The sequence below is a fragment of the Homo sapiens genome, chromosome 6 (genome assembly GCF_000001405.40).
Source record: "Homo sapiens chromosome 6, GRCh38.p14 Primary Assembly".
NCBI lineage: Eukaryota > Metazoa > Chordata > Mammalia > Primates > Hominidae > Homo > Homo sapiens.
The window spans coordinates 4,302,089-4,319,267 of NC_000006.12; the positions used below are offsets into that span (position 1 = coordinate 4,302,089).

Consider the following 17,179-nt stretch of genomic DNA (forward strand, 5'->3'; position numbering starts at 1 on the left):
AGTTAAGCTCTTGTTTAAGATGGGAAAGTTATTCTGAGTAATAACTATTTCCTTCTCCTTGAGCTGCACAGTGAAAAAGTGTTACTTCCTACTTAGGACTTCATGTTCAGTGAACATAGCTCTCGTTCTGGAGAGAAAAATAAATTGCTTTCCAAAGGGCAATGGGATTTCTACTGCCTGTATCGATCATGCAGCTTTTCATTCCTGGTTGGTTTTCCTTGACCTCTGTGAGGATTGCATGTTCCGAAGACATAGCAGGGCCTGAACTTCAAAAACACTAGTGACATTCCAGGCTGGCTGTGAAATTTTGCAGTAAATCTGAAAAAATATTCTCAGTTCATATGGTGAGGTGGAGGGAAATTGCTACCCAAAGGCTACTGTGTCCACAGTCTTCTCGCACTCCTAGTGCTTCAAGCTCCATTGAAGTGAGTTGCCCCTCTGCCACTGTGTCCCCCACTGCACCCCCACCTGGGGTGTCCTGGGCCATAAAAGTTTGAGCAGGAACACTTGCTGGAGCACATTTTCAAAGACCACCAATCACCTCCAGCTGGAGACCTGCTGCAACCCCCAGCCTTTGGTATTGTAGCCAGTTCCGACAATCAAGACATTTAATCCCACGGATTGCAGAATGGTGTGGGCAGCAAGCAGCTCTACTGCAGGTCTGTAGGAAGTGTGTCTTTATTTTTATCACTAGCAGACCTCACTGAAAGCTCTGGGTCTGATGGTGATCACAGAGAAAGGTCCCAGTCAGAGTCAGGCTGTTCCCTGCTTCTCACCAGTTGGGTCATCCTGGGATGTGCCTAATCTTCCCCATTTGTAAGACACAAGGGCCAGGTGAGACCAGTGGTTCTCAAACCAGAGAGTCTCTGTCTTTCTTTCTGAGACAGAGTCTTGCTCTGTTGCCCAGGCTGGAGTGCAGTGTTGCAATCTCGGCTCACTGCAGACTCCGCCTCCCAGATGTAAGCAATTCTCTGCCTCAGCCTCCCGAGTAGCTGGGATTACAGGTGCGTGCCACCATACCTGGCTAATTTTTGTATTTTTAGTAGTGATGGGCTTTCACCATCTTGGCCAGGCTAGTCTTGAACTCCTGACCTCATGATCCACCTGCCTCAGCCTCCTCAAGTGCTGGGATTACAGGCGTGAGCCACCGCACCTAGCCCAAACCAGTTTCTAAGAATTATCTGGGCAATGTGTAATCCCCAGTGGCAATTTCCAGAAATTCTCATTTTAAAAGCTCCTCATTGATATTGACACTGATGTTCTATGGACCACAGTTGGGAAAATACTGGGAGCAGATAGAAAACTTCCAGCCCCAACAGTCTCTGCTGGACCCTGGCTGTGATGTTAAATTTTATTCTGTCTGGTTGGCTTTAGAGTTCTCTTTATTATCTTACACATAAAGCTTTTTTAAATGATTGGGGAATTTACAATAATTTATCACAATAACATTTGGAAGCATTTGAGAGAGCAATAGTTCTTAGCTGAATTTCTTTGGGCAGAGGTAAATATACAAAGAAAACAGGTGAGAAGTTGGCTCTATATCAGATAGTCTAAAGAAAATGTTGTAGAGAAGAACTACATTCCATTACACTACTACTTTTGAAATATTTTCTTTTTCCCCTCATTTCCCTCCTATCCTGTCTCCCTCATCTCTTTGCTTTATGTTTAGATTCCCTTGATTAGAAATGGCAAAATCAGGAAGTGAAAGATCTGACACATGTAGAAGTAAATGGGAACCAGGCCCTCAGGGCCACCCAATAGTTGACCTCAAAGCTTGGCCTGGTTGATGTCCACATGCCATGTCATCGGGAGCCCCCTCTTTTTGGCTTCTGGGGATTTTTATCAGAAAGGGAGGAGCCATCCCAAGGCAGCTTTTACCTGTCACAGATAGCATCAAACCCTGACTCCAAAAACTTGAGGAAAATCAAAAGCATGTGGTCACCAGGAAAAAAAAATGAGGATCTCATCTTTAATCACAATAAAGCTAGAATTCCCAGATGGTACATTTTTGGATCTTTGCATCCATCTGCTAGTTCAAGTACTTCAACAGCAATTGCCCTCATGGTGATTTCACAAATTCCTCACATCCTTCATTCATTTGACAAATATTCATTGAGCATCTACTTGGCGCCATGAACTAGAGATCAGTGTGAGCAGATGACATGAACTCTGCCTTGCAAATGCCACTTGCATCAAGCCCCACAAACAGAGGGACTCTGGCACTGTGGTCTGAGAGGTCAGAAGGAGTCTTTCTGAGGAGATGACAGTGAGCTGAGATTGGAAGACCAGTAGGAGAGAACTAGATGAACTAAATGAAAAGATGCTCCACCTACAGAGTTGGGTGCCAGCTACTGAAAGATAGCCTTCATGGGGGAAATAGCAAATCATGTCTCCCTTTGGCCCAAGTCATGACTTGTCTGCCTGTCTGCCTCACATGAGGTGGGGGGACTGCAGGATGTTTTTGGAAATGTTTTCTGAACACTGATCCCCGATATATACTCTAATTCCATACTTGTTATTGAATTTTGCAATAGGAAATTTAAACCACATGCTGTTTATTTAAAAATTTCGATTAAATTTTCCTTTGACTTGCACTTCCAAATAATAAATCAAATGTTGCTTAGTTTAATTTTCAAGTTGATGAAGATTCTTTTCCTGTTGCTAATTCAAGTCACTTAAGGTGAATTTTGATTAATTTGTGATAGGAAGTTTTGTCTTTCTTAATTGAAAACGCTTTTGAACCAATAGCATATTGCACTAAATTACTCAGGAAATGGCAGTGCTAGGGCTAAGAAAATCTTTATTTTTTTATTTTTATAAAAAAATGATCACAGATTTCAAAGGATTAATTTCTCCACTCTTACTGAAAAGAGCTATTGAACTCTCAGTTGACTACAAGTGATTTATCTCTGCTAATTAAAAATAAAAATCTTCCTGACTTCTTGGTGTCAATGTGTGCAATTCCAATGATGATCATGCTCTATATTTATACAGGGGCTAATATATCACTTGCACATATTTTTATCTTTTTAAGCTTCCCAGCATCACTTAACTGATGGTTGATGGGGAGGGGATGATCTGGAAGGATGATAAATTAAGACTGTCTCTCATTTTAAACCATAAAATAGGTATGTAATGAATCAGAGCTGAAACACAATCATCCTGAAAGAAAAGATTGCTGGGTTGAATGTTAGTTCTGCTTTTAGCTCTTTGAGGAATTGTAACACTGCTTTCCATAATGGTTGCACTAATTTACACTTCTGCCAACAGTGTGTAAGTGTTCCCTTTTCTCTGCAACCTTGCCAGTGTCTGTTGTTTGTTTGTTTTCCACTTTTTAATAGTAGCCATTCTGACTGGTGTAAGATGGTATCTCACTGTAGTTTTGATTTGCATTTCTCTAATGATCAGCGATATTGAGCTTTTTTTTCCAGAGGAATATAAATCACTCTACTATAAGATACATGCACATGAATGTTCATTGCAACACCATTTACAATAACAAAGACAGGGTATCAACCTAAATGCCTATCAGTGATGGAATGGATAAAGAAAATGTGGTAATATAAACCATGGACAACTATGCAGCCATAAAAAGAACAAGATCATGTATTTTTCAGGAACATGGATGGATCTGGAGGCCATCATCCTTAGCAAACTAATTCAGGAGCAGAAAATCAAATACCACATGTTCTCACTTATAAATGGGAGCTAAATGATGAGAACTCATGAACACAAAGAAGGGAACAGTAGACATGGGGTCTATTTTAGGAGGAGGGAGAGGAACAGAAACGATAACTATTGGGTACTAGGCTTAATACCTGGGTGATAAAATAATCTGTACAACAAACCCCCATGACACAAGTTTCCTATGCAGCAAACCTGCACATGTAGCCCTAAACCTAAAATAAAAGTTTTTTAAAAAAGAAAGTAAAGATTGAGCTTAAGGTGTTAACTTAAGAAAGAATGTCTGTGCCAATCAGGAGAAGAATGAAATCTAGAGTCCTCACTAATGCCTGCATTTTCACTCCTGCGTGACCTGGCTCCCACCTACTCCTCCAGTTTATTTTCTGCTACTCTTTTTCTCATGTGCTTGCCCCCAGCTGCACAGACCTACTTGCTGTTCCTGCAACACGCACAAGGCTTGCTCTTGCCTCTGTGTCTTTGCACGTGCTGTTCCTTCTGCCTGAAGGCTCTTCCCTTGATATTCTCATCATAGCTCACTCACTGGCTTCCTTTAGCTCTGCTCAAATGCACTTCTTTAGAGAGACCTTCTGGACCAGCTCAAAAAGCATTCCCATCACTCGTTATTGCCTTCCATGTATCATTTGTTTTCATAACACTTATCATCAACTGATGAATTGTATACATATACAATTATATATATGTTACATATAATTTACTGTATGTTTTAGATCAGTTTTGGGTTCACAGCAAAATTAAGAGGAAGACACAGAGATTTCCCATATGCCCCTTCCCTGACACATGCACAGCCTCCTCCATATCAACATCCTCCACCAGAGTGGCACATTTGTTACCATTGATGACCCTACATTGGCATACCCTCATCACACAAAGTTTATAGCTTATCTTAGGGTTCATTCTTGGTGTTCATTCTGTGGGTTTGGATAAATATATGATGACAAGTATCCACCATTTTAGTATCATACAGAGTGTTTTCACTGCCCTAAAAGCCCTCTGTGCTCTACCTGTGCATCCCTTCTTCCTCCAACCCTTGGCAACCACTTATCTTTTTACTGTCTCTATAGTTTTGCCTTTTTGAGTGTCATGAAGTTGAATTCATCAGTTATGCAGCCTTTTCAGATTGGCTTCATTCACTTAGCAGTATACATTTAAGTTTCCTCAATGTCTTCACAGCTTGATGAGCCATTACTTTGTAGTGCTGAATAATATTCCATTGTCTCGATGTACCAGAGTTTATTTGTCCATTCACCTACTGAAGGACATCTTGGTTGCTTCACAAGTTTTGGAGCATAAAGGTATTTTTCTCTTTATTTATTATTTGATCTCTCTTTTTCCATCCCTCCAACATAGTGACTATGCCTATTTGTATACTCTTATATCCCAATGACTAGTATACTGATTGTACATAATATGTGCTCAAAAATATTTTATTGAATAAAGAATTGAGGAAGGAAAGTAAAAAATACAGAAAAGAGATCAAATGAATGAGCGCTAGAAGTAACTGTAATATACTGTATAGGAAGAGGTATGCCTGGGTCAAATAACTCAATCTGTCCAGTCTCAGTAGCAAGGACAGGGCCTAAAGACATTGCTTCATTGGTGACTAAGTGTGCGGACAGAATTTCTGTTTAAAGAAGGACATCATGATCAAAGAAGATGACAGCAGGAGAGAAGATATTTGCAATTTCTAAAATGAGGAACCAGTGTCTGGAATCACTAGTGCCTTTGAGTCAACAAGTAGAAAATGACAATCGCAAAAAGGAAAAACAGACAAAGGACATGAACAGGCAATTTACACAACAGGAATCCCAAGAGGCTAGCAAGTGTAAAACATGTTTAAAACTGTTACTAATCAGAGAAATGCAAATCAATCTACAATGAGTTGTCAGTCGATAAGAGTAGACTTGAAAAAAGTAAGAGGTAGGATGATGGGGCTGTGAAGGCAAAGGGACCTTTGTCTGGTGCTGGTGGCAAGATAGACAGATGCAGCCATGGGTTTAGGTGTATATCACATCCCAGCAGGGGCAAAGAAAGGAGAATTCATCCTGGTGGAGAGGAGATGAAATGAGCCGGCCACCGTTGGTAGAGATGTGAGTAGGGAAAGTGTGGAGGAAGCTCACCACTCAGGGCCAGATGTGCACATATAGCCCCAAATCAATCTGAAAATCAGTGCTTCCCCTACAAAAAAAGTAGAAAAAAGATTGAGGTCTATATCACAATACGAGTTTAATAATAAATAGCATAGCTGGCCCATTTAATACCAAAGCAGATATTTTTTAACACCTCTTTCCCCAATACACTAAAATAATTTTCATTAATAATCAAGAAATGAAATTAATAATGGCCAGAAAAGAAAAATAGACAGTAAAGTTTTTCTTCTGAATTTTGTATAATTATGCTGATTAAAAATTAAAATAAAATAAATATTATAGTACAAACAGGAACTATTAATAGATTAGCATGTTTAAATTATTTAAACAAAAAAACCCATATACTTGCCTATTAGTCTATTACAGTAACAGATAATCACATTACAGTTTCTGTTTCAGAGCCTTAGCTTCTACAGATTTGTCATTGACTTCAAAATAGCAGTACTAGAAAGAGTCATCAATCCATCTTCACTCATGAAGGAATAGTATTTATCCATTTTGTTTTTGAAAAGTTTATTTTGCGTGAAACAGCAGGTATATGCATAGACAGAAAAGATTTTAAACATGAGAATAAATTTGGCAATGAATCATAAACATTCTATTTCACAATAAATTCCAGAAATTTCAGAGGCAAATGGAAACTCCAAGTGGTTGTATAGAATGACAGAATAGAAGTAACCCAATTTCTGTTTCTTCATTTTTACAATCACTGTGCTATTCTTGGTTAATTTGAATCTAGTGTCCATACCTTTATGAATTTGCTTTCTTTTTCTTTCTTTCTTTTTTTTTTTTTTTTGAGATGGAGTCTTGCTCTGTTGCCCAGGCTGGAGTGCAGTGGCATGATCTCGGCTCACTGCAACCTCCGCCTCCCAGATTCAAGCGATTCTCCTGCCTCAGCCTCCCAAGTAGCTGGGACTACAGGCACCTACCACTGCACCCAGCTAATTTTTTATTTTTAATAGAGACGGGTTTCACCATCTTGGCCAGGCTGGTCTCAAACTCCTGACCTTGTGATCCACCCGCCTTGGCCTCCCAAAGTGCTGGGATTACAGGCGTGAGCCACTGTGCCTGGCCATGAATTTACTTTCAAGAGGAATGTGTGTAGCTAAATTTGTGTCTGCTGGGGGCTGACTATAATAACCAAGAGTTCTCCAAATTAACTTCAACGTACAATAAAATGTCTATTCAAGGATAAGTAATAGAAATGTGCTAATTTAAAGCTCACACATACATTACTAAACTCAACAGAAGTGATTAGAAGTTAGACTCCCATAAAAAGATAGTCTTGAGAGAGGTGTGTATCATCAGTGGCATTGCTTAGAGTTGCTGTAACAGTGATTTAAAAAACAGATTATCTCTTAATGTCATTATTATTTTTTAAATTCTCCAGACAAGGTACTCCCTTATTGCCTGCATCTGAGGCAGGTTGCTACCATTGCTCCTCTCTAGGGACATGCTATTTATAAGCAAAAAATTATTCATGTGGGACCTGCAAAGAGGCTTGAGGGAGAGGTGTGGTAAGAAAAAAAGGGATTTCTGAAAAAAGTGGATGTCCAATTGTTTCAACATTTTTGTTGGGAAACTATCCTTCGTCCATTTCTTTGCCTTTGGACCTTTGTCAAAATCAGTTGACCACTGTGCCCCTGGCTGGAGAAACAGCCAAATTGACCCGCCCCTTGAGAAAATGTCCCCAAATCATGGAGCCACCACATGCCCATCCCTGCAGCTGGAGATATAGCCTGGTGGCCCCACCCCCAGTGAGCCAGTTCTCAAGTCAGCCAACACATCATGCACTGCACCCCTAGCCAGAGAAACAACCCAGCAGTCCTGCCCCCATGTGCACATGCATGCCCCTTGCCTATAAGCCAATTTGGTAAGCCCACCTCTGGCTAAGCCACAACACTGCCACCACAAACTCCTGTAGCCTAGGTCACTGAGGCACTCGCAAGCGTCACTAACATAAATTATAGCTGAAGACACTGCATGAACATTGCACTACCCTATCTTTCCAGAACCAAAATCAGTGTGCCTTCCCCAGCCAATACCCTAGGATCTAGCTACAGGAATAAGTCCTTATGAAAGCTATTTTATAAAACTGAAAGAGGCAACTGTTCCGTTAGATGAGCAGATATCAACATAGGGACACAATAAATATGAAAAAGCAAGGAAACAGGACACCTCAAAGAAGCATAATAATTCTCTAGGAACAGAGTCCTAAAGAAATGAAAATGTACAAAATGCCAGAGAAGTATTAATAATTGAAAATAATAATCTTAAGGGATCAATGAGATACAGGAAAATACAGATAGACAATTCAAAGAAATCAGGAAAATTAATGATTTGAATAAGAAATTCAACAAAGAGATATAAAATACCAAACAGAAATCTTGGAGCTGAAGAATTTCATGAGGGAAATAAACAATGAAATTAACAGCTAAGATGAAATCAAGCAGAAAAAAAGAATTTCTAAATGTGAAGACAGGTCTTTTGAAATAACCAAGGCAGAAAAGACAGAGAGAAAAAAAAAATTTACGGGACGTATGGGACACCATAAAGCAAACAGATATTCACATTATGGTAGTTTAAGAAGGAGAAGAGATAAGAAAGGACATAGAAAGCCTATTTAATTTAATAAAACAATATCTGAAGAGAATCTCAAATCTTGGGAGATACATGAGCATCCAGGTTCACGAAGTTTAAAAGTTTCTAAATGTATTCAATTCAAAAAGTTTCACCCTGGGGCACATTATAGTAAAATTGTCAAAAGTTAAAGACAAAGAAAAATTCTAAAAACAGAAAGAGAAATGCATCAAGTCACATATAAGGAAATGCCCACTAGACTAACAGATTTCTTAGCGGAAACCTTATAGGCAGAGAGAGAATGGCATGATATAGTCACGCTGAAAGAGAAAAAGACTTACAACCAAGAATTCATACCCAGAAAAACTATCCTTCAAAAATGAAGGGAGAAATAAAGTCTTTTCCAGACAAACAAAAATGGAATTCATTACCACTAGACTGGTCTTACAAGAAACACTAGGGAGACCTATATCTGGAAGCAAAAGAATGATATCTACCATCATGAAAACACATGAATGTGTAAAACTCACTGGCAGAACAGAGACATAAAGAAGAAAGAAAAAGTAGTTAAAATGCATCACTACAGAAAACCACCAAAATGCAAAGATAAACAATAACAGAGGAAGAAAGAAACAAAAAATATGCAAAGGCATCAAAATACAAATAACAAACAGAGTAAGTACTCACATACCAATAATAACCTTTAATCTAAATAGATCACATTCTTCAATTAAAATATATAGACTGGCTGAATAAATTTTTAGAAAAATGAGACCCACCTCTCTGCTGCAAATCAGTAGTGATTCTATACATTAACAACGAGCTGGCTGAAAAAGAAATCAAGAAAGCAATCCAATTTATAATAGCAAAGAAAAAAATACTGAGAAATAAATTTAACCACAGTAGTGAAAGACTTCCACAAGAGAAACAATAAAATACTGATGAAAAAAATCGAACACGATAAAACAAAATAGAAGGACATTCCATGTTCATGGATTGAAATAATTAATATTGTTATAATGACCAGGCTACCCAAAACAATGTACAGATTCAATTCAATCCCTATCAAAATGCAATGACATTCATTACAGAAATAGAAAAAGTAATCCTAAAATTTGTTTGGAACCACAAAATACTCCAGGTAACCAAAGCAATCTGAGCAAAAAGAGCAAAGGTGGAGGGATCACACTACCTGACTTCAAAATATATGACAAAGTTATACTAACTGAAACAGCACAGTAATGAAATAAAAACAGACACGTAGACCAATGGTAAAGAATAGAGGACCCAGAAATAAATGCAAAACAATTGTTTGGTGGTCTATCTTTTAGCAGGTTGATGTAGGTATTATTGTTTTTAATAGATTTCTTACTGGAGTTATGAGTAGATTGCAGAACACAATTACAGTATTAGAGTATTCTGGGTTTGTCATGTACTCAATTTTACCAGTGGGTTTTATATATTTACACTTTTTTTTGTTTGTTTGTTTTTGCATGTTAGTATTTTTTTCTTTCAGTTTGAAGAGCTCTCTTTAGCATTTTTTGTCAGATGGGTCTGGTGACAAATTCTCACAGCTTTTGTTGTTTGGGAAAGACTTCTCTGCTTCATATTAGAAGGATAGCTCTGTTGGATATAGTATTCTTGGATGACAGTCTTTTTTTTCTTTCAGAAGTTTGAAAATGTCATTCTACCCCCTCCTGGCCTGTATGATTTCCATTGAAAGGTCTGTTGGCTGATCAATTGGAGCTCCTTTATATGTTATTTGCTTCTTTTCTCTTGCTGCTTTTAAGATTCTCTACTTATTTTTTATTCTTGAACATTTGATTAGGGGTAGAACATTTTATTCCAGGGGTAGTCTCATTTGAGTTGAATCTGCTTGGTGTTTTCTGACCTTTCTGTACCTGGTTATTTATTTTTCCTCAAGTGTTAAAAGTTTTCTGTTATTATGCCTTTGAATAAACCTTCTATCCCTTATTCTTACTCAACTCTGTTTTGATCACCAGTAATTCTTAGATTTTGTTTTTTAAGGTAATTTTTTATATCTTTTAGGTGATCTTTGTTTCTTTTCATTTTTTTCTTTTCTGTGCATTTTCAAAAAGCCTATCTTCAACTTAACTGATTCTTTCCTCTGCTTGATATCACCATTCTGCTGTTGAGAGCCTCTGTTGCATTTTTTAATTCAGCAAATGTATTTCTCAGTTCCATGATTTCTGTTTGATTTTTTAATTATTTCAATCTTTTTGTTACATTTCTCTGATAAATTTCTCAATTGCTTTTCTGTGTTATCTTAGAGATTTCTGAGTATTCTTAAAACTGCTATTTTCAGTTTTTGATCTGAGAGCATACATATTGCAGTTTCATTAGGGTCAGTTACTGGTTTATTGTTTTGTTCATTTGGGGAGGTCATGGTTCCCCATTTGCTGTTGTTTTTTGTAGATGTACATTTACATCTTTGCATTGAAGGATTATTTATTTCAGTCTTCTCTGCCTGGATTGTTTTGGGTTTTATTGGATAAGTTTTCCTAGAAATGCTTTGTAATTTAATTGTAGATTATCTTTTTTTTTCCCCAATGATGTTGTTGCCTCTTTTTTGGCACTAGATGGTGCCTTAAGCCCAGGGTTGCCTCAGTTGTAGTAAACAACCAGAGTGCTGCCCATTCCAAATGGGAGAGATCTCAAAGGGGACATCCTGGCAGTGTGGGAAGGCTGGCTAAGAGTTTATGCCCAGGGGACCTGTGGAACAAACCTTCCACAGTGTAGTGCTGCTGCACAGCCACACTAATTTGGCATTTCCTTTGGCCTAGTTACATAGTAAAGCTTCAGGGTCTGGGAATGGTAATACCCCCACCTTTGTCACTGGCTGTAATCAGGGTTATTTCTCCTTTCAGGCACTCCTGATGCTTCCCATGGGTTGAGACAGGGACTGTTGTAGTAGGGAGCCCAAGTTGGTAAAGAAGCTGGTTGTGCACCTCAGTCTCACTTTTTCCAGTGTAGAAACTGTGAGTCAGGGAGAAATTTTTCTCATGCTTGGTGCTGTGCCAGGCAGACTTGGAGGGAAGGGTGTCATGGATACGGTAGTCCTTTTACTATCTGCCCCGAGTGATTTCACAGCTCTGTTGCCCTGGGAACTGTCTCATTCTGATATTTGAGTTCTGGGATATTGCTGGCAATAATCTCAGTACTGTGTATTTGTTTTTGGTTTTTGTGGGGAGAGTGAAACCAGCTTGCTTTTACTCTGCCATTTTGAAATCAAAAGTCCTATTATACTATCTTGATTACTTTAGTAGTGTTATTAATCCAACTTTATTCTTTTTGTTCAAAAATTGTTTTAGCTATCCTAATTCCTTTTCCTTTTCACCTGAAATTTAGAATCAGCATGTGTACATATATGGCTGAACTTTTTATTGGAACTGCAGTAAATTTATAAATGTGTTTGGGGAAAATTTTCATTCTTACTATGTTGAGTTTTCCAATCAATGAACATTGTGTATCTCTGCTTTTATCTAGATCTTTGATTTCTTTGATTTCTTTCATCTGTGTTTCATAGTTTTCAGCATATAGATCCTGTGAACAATCATAAATGCTGTTTTTTTAACATTCAGTTTCAAATTATAATTCCTAGTATATAGAAATGATTGATTTTTATAAACAATTATTTTTCAGTAAAAATAAGTGACTTTTCTTTATAGACTGTTTCTGAAGGATTCTACTTTATGTTCATGGAAATTACACTCTTTTAATCCTGAGATTTTATGGATTGCTGAAGTATATAATTAAATTGTGTAGTCATTATAATATGTACAGGTGGCAGAAACAGGTTGGGAACAAACCCAATCAACTCTTGGTAAGCATACAAATAAAACAGGAAGAGCAAAAGTATATCAGTGTATCACAGTAGACTACTGGGCTATAGGGATTCAGCATGGTCATGAAAAAATAGAGTAAACAGAAGGTCAGTCAGTTAATCTGGAGAGTCAGCTAAGCGAAGGTCATTTAAGAGAGCTTCTACTGAAAGATCTACACAAAAGAGACAAGAAGGCAATAGAAAGGCCCAGTTCCTATGATTGCATTTAAACATAAAACTAATGCTATATCTTGAGAACATAAGAAACATATTTTATACTCGTCACAATATATCTACTGAAGGAGCACTTATAAAGAAGGAAAAATAGCTATTACAATCATGTTTTTGAAAAATAATGATGGTAGGAAAGATCATAATTATAATACTAAGTGAAAAAAATCTTAGGATACAAAAATGTTATGTACAATACAATATTACTCCCAATTATACAAAAAAGTATTTTTAGAAGAAAGACGAAAAATACATCGAAATGTTTATAATAATTATGTATGGCTGTTGGGATATGGTTGGCATTTATTTACTTGTTTTTGCTGTTTTTACATTTTTACAGCTTTTACAATGCCTATGGGTTATTTTTACAATCAGAAGAAGTGTCATTTTTAAAAGAAGAAGAATTCTTTCTATACTTTATTTGCCTCATTGAGATATCTGACAACAGTATCCTCATTGTTCTCTTTTGTTGTAATGAAAAACCATTTCAGGATTTTGGCATTTCCCACCAATTCCCTATGCCTTTTAAGGAACCAAGCAAGCTTCAGTAGTCTCTGCCATTTGATAAGTTACATTAATGATTATGACAACAATAATTGTACAGGCTTTGCAAAGCTATTTATTTAATAAAATCATTACTATAAAGACTTTAAAGAACTACAAGCAAGGGTCAGGGCCAACTTCATGATTGTCCCCTTCATAGTCATCCAAGTCTTCAATTTAGCTAAGGTCACAAGCCCCATGTAGAGAGTCAAACCAGAAACCATTAAATACAGTTATTTCACTCTTTCTCCTCATTTCCTTGCATAGGCTAACCTTAGAGTTTGCTGGCAGGTGCTAGAGTTATACATAAAATTCCAGATCAATAGCCGGGGAATTTAAAAAGAAGGTGCAGAACATCATACAGAATCTAAGGCTATTCTCTCTCCCAGTTAGTGGTTCTTTTCTTTGTCGGTTTTCTTAAATGAGTGGTTCTTAACCTTTCCTGGATCATAATATTTTCAGTCATTTTATGTAGACACTCAAATTTCCCTAAATTCTTGCATCAACAAATCCATTCCCTCCCCCAAATCTATTACCAATGCACTGGATTTATTACAGGCACATGTTTCACGTCAGTCCCCCATAGGTAGCTTTAGCTCAGGCTCTATCTCCTCTCACCTTCACTGTGCCAGTAGCCTCCGAAGTGGGCTCCCTAACTCTAGTCTCCTGAGTAGCATCCATCTTCCACACCAACACACTGCAGCCATTTTCCTGAAAGCAAACCTGATCATTCCCTCCCTCACTTGAAGCTATTCTTGATGAAGCCCCTTCCTTTATTTTCTGTGGCTAAGGGGAATGCGGTGGTATTCTATCAACTTACAATATCACAGCCAGGCAGAGGAGGTCAAAGGATAGAGGACAATTTCACATGCTAAGTGAGCATGCCTTTCTTTTTATTCTCCCCTTTAAAGCAATGATAGTTGGCTTGAGCTGTGTTTCAAATAGGAGAATCATTTGCAGGGAGTCATTATGTGTCTCTCCAAGGATCACTCTTCCTGAGACAGATCCATTGATCTACTTGGGGATCAGGCTTAGAAAAGTGAGCCACAGTGATCTGGGCCACATCTGTGAATGCACCAGGGAGCCCCAGGAGCCAGGTGGTAAGAAACGTCATAAAGGGGGTTGGAGGAGGAAAAGCTCTGGGAGGAGAAGAGTGGAGAAATGCTCATGTTTTAACAATGGCTCTCAAACTTGGCTGCACATCAGAATCACCTGGGGAACTTTGAGAAATCCCCACACCCAGGCCAATCCAACCCTCTCAAATCAAAGTCTCTGAGGTGGGACCAGGTACCTGAATTCTTTTAAATCTCCAAGGTGATGGCACTGTGTGGAAGGTTTGAGAGCCAGTGTCTTAGAAGATTTGGGTTTGCCAGAAGGTTTCTGGATGGAGCCTGGGTGCTGACCCTTTTACCCTAACTGGTTAGAGTGGCAGATGAAGCTCCACCCATCTAGTGCTAGATCTTTTGGAGATTTATTTTTAAAAGCCACTCATTATTCCTCTCCCCATTTGGCAAAAGCGTTTTCATCCATTTTCTCTTTGACACCCATTACATTTAAAAAAATTATTTAGTCCTATACTGGACAGTCTGTAGCAAGTCCAGCCTGCTCTGCCACTAGTTAACTGGATGCTAGGCCTCAGTTCTTTTCCAGGGAAGCAGGAAAAATTAGCATAGGCCATCTTCAAGTTCCTCTCCTCTCTTTAGCTTTAGCATTTAGTCCTCTACAACTCCGTCTCCAGATTTCTGAGGCTGTTCTGAGCCACCTCTGCCCACATGCTTCTGGCTGATCTCTAGCCACAGCTGCTTGCCTCATGGCCGCCACTTCCTGCTGGACGTCCACGGGGCTGGGGTGGTGGGCAGGGAGGGAGAGTGAGGATGGAAAACCAGGATGACCAGCGGCTCTAAATCCCCTAAGGGTGGTATTCCTTTTTGAGGAACTGGCCACCCCTCTACACAGCAGCTGAGATGCAGGAGTTCCTGTTTCAACTCCCCCACCCTGCTGGAGGCTGTAAGGCAGGGTGTGATCGGCTTTTACTGGAGAACAGGAAATAGCAGGAAACGTCACCTACAAGGGCACATTAATCACATTAGCTTGGCAAACTATCATCTGGGATTCAAAGTCACATGTGTGAGCACAGCATTTCTAGGCAGCCCGTTTCCACAGCCCTGCTGCCCATGCCTTTTGTTTTAGAAGACCGGTCTCTGCAGCTCACTGCTGCTGGAAGGAAAACTCACATGATCACATTTTGTGTACACATGCATCCACATGCATAGTGAAACCAGGTGAGCTTAATTCATTTTGGCTAGACTGAAGTCAAGCTTCTGAAAATATAAAATGGTTGTATTTCTGGGCCAATGCTGACGCTGGAGGTGGCATGTTGATGAGGCCAGGAAGTTATTCTATTTTCTGGTGAGGGAGTACTTGTCTTGTTCTCTTTTTTTTTCCTACAGAAAATGCAGCCATTACTCACATTTAAAAAAATTACATTTGGGCTTTGAGGTATAATAAGAAATATATAGATATTGGTCACTGCTCCTGATTCCTGACACAGAGCCACTAAAACCCTTGTTATTTCCTGAGTGATAGGGGTGCGAGGAGAATATTTTGTCCTAATATTTGGTCTCTGACCCAGTTCCCAGCACAGAGCTCTTAAATCCCCTGGAATTTCCTGGGTGATAGGAGCATCTTTCATTCTAACAAGGTGACTCTTGGTGGACTCCTGTATGGAGTTTGTCACCAGAAAGATCAAGCCATGATGAGAAGCTTGGAACATTCAGCCTCACTCTCCATCCTCTGGGTAGAGGAGTGGGGCTGGAGATTTAGTTAAAAATTGATCCTGCCTATGCCATGAAAGATCTACATCATAGATTTTTCTGTGTCTATAACAATCCCTAAAGTATAGGGCTGAGAGCTTCCAGATTGATGAACACGTCTACGTGCTGGGGGTGGTGCATCTCAGCTCCATGGAGACAGAAGTGCCTGTGCTTGGGACCCTTTCAGACCTTGCCCTCTGCATCTCTTTATCTGGCTGTGTGTGTGTATCCTTTGTAATATTCTTTGTAATAAAGTGGTAGGTGAATATAAGTGAGTATTTCCCTGACTTCTGCAAACTGTTCTAGCAAATGATCAAAACTGAGGAGGAGGTTATGGGACCCTCCTATTTGTAACCAAGTCAGACAGGGGTTGTGGGTAACCTAGAGACCATCACTTGTGATTGGTGTCTGAAGTGGGGTGAGGAGTCAGGAGGAACTGAACACTTAACCTGTGGGATCTGTGCTAATCCCAGGTAGATGGTGTCAGAATTGAATTGAATTATTGAACACCAAGTTGGCGTCTGAAGAGAATTGGAGAACTAGTTGGTGTGGGAAAACCCCACACATATTTGGTTACAGAAGTGTTCTGTGTTAAGTGTGAGTATAAGGAAGGAAAAATGAGTTTTTCTTACAGGCTTACATTTAAGGAATTATCTTTCTTGAAAATGATATTGAAGTCAGCACTGTCTGGGAAAGTCTGGAACATAAAGTGCTTCTGAGCCAGGATCTTTTGTATCATTAAAATGACGCACTCTTTAGGGAGGGAGCAACCTACTTTTAGATGAGGGTCTTAGGGGAGACTTTATTTTGGAGCCATTTGTGGGCACATGAACTTGACTTTCAGATCTCTGATTGGGCAGGAACAGCTCCTTGCTAGGGGCTACTGAATGAACCTCAAGGAAAAGTGAAGTTGAAAGCTCTTAGGCCACATCAAAGAAGTGGGGAGGATACAGAGCCTTCTTCCCTTCTGGGAGACAAGGGCACCAGAGGCCTTCCTTGCTTTTTAACAATGCGCATCTATTTTGTGAGGCTTAAAAGGGCGTTTTGTCCATGGGAGATGCTAAAAATATTCTTGTAGGAAGAAAGGAAAAGGGGGAAAGGGAAGATGTGATAAAAGGAAGAAGAGAAAAAGGGATAATTCAAAGTACTGAAATAAAAATTTTGGTTAGCTCAAAAAAGAAGTAAAATACAGTATCTAGAGAGCAACAGCACAAAAGAGAAAACAAGCAAATATTCCTGGATGTTTCTTTCTCACCGTATCACCCTGAGTACGTTATTTAACCACTCTGAGTCCCAGTTTCCTCATCTGTAAAACG

The 17,179-nt window shown here is 39.1% G+C and overlaps 1 annotated feature.

Annotated features, from left to right (window-relative positions):
• Positions 14,885–15,385: an enhancer, noted in NCBI's record as "H3K4me1 hESC enhancer chr6:4317207-4317707 (GRCh37/hg19 assembly coordinates)". NCBI's record gives its function as "activates a minimal SCP1, AML or CMV promoter by ChIP-STARR-seq in primed H9 embryonic stem cells {active_cell/tissue: H9 hESC(primed)}" and the evidence as "EXISTENCE:reporter gene assay evidence [ECO:0000049][PMID:30033119]".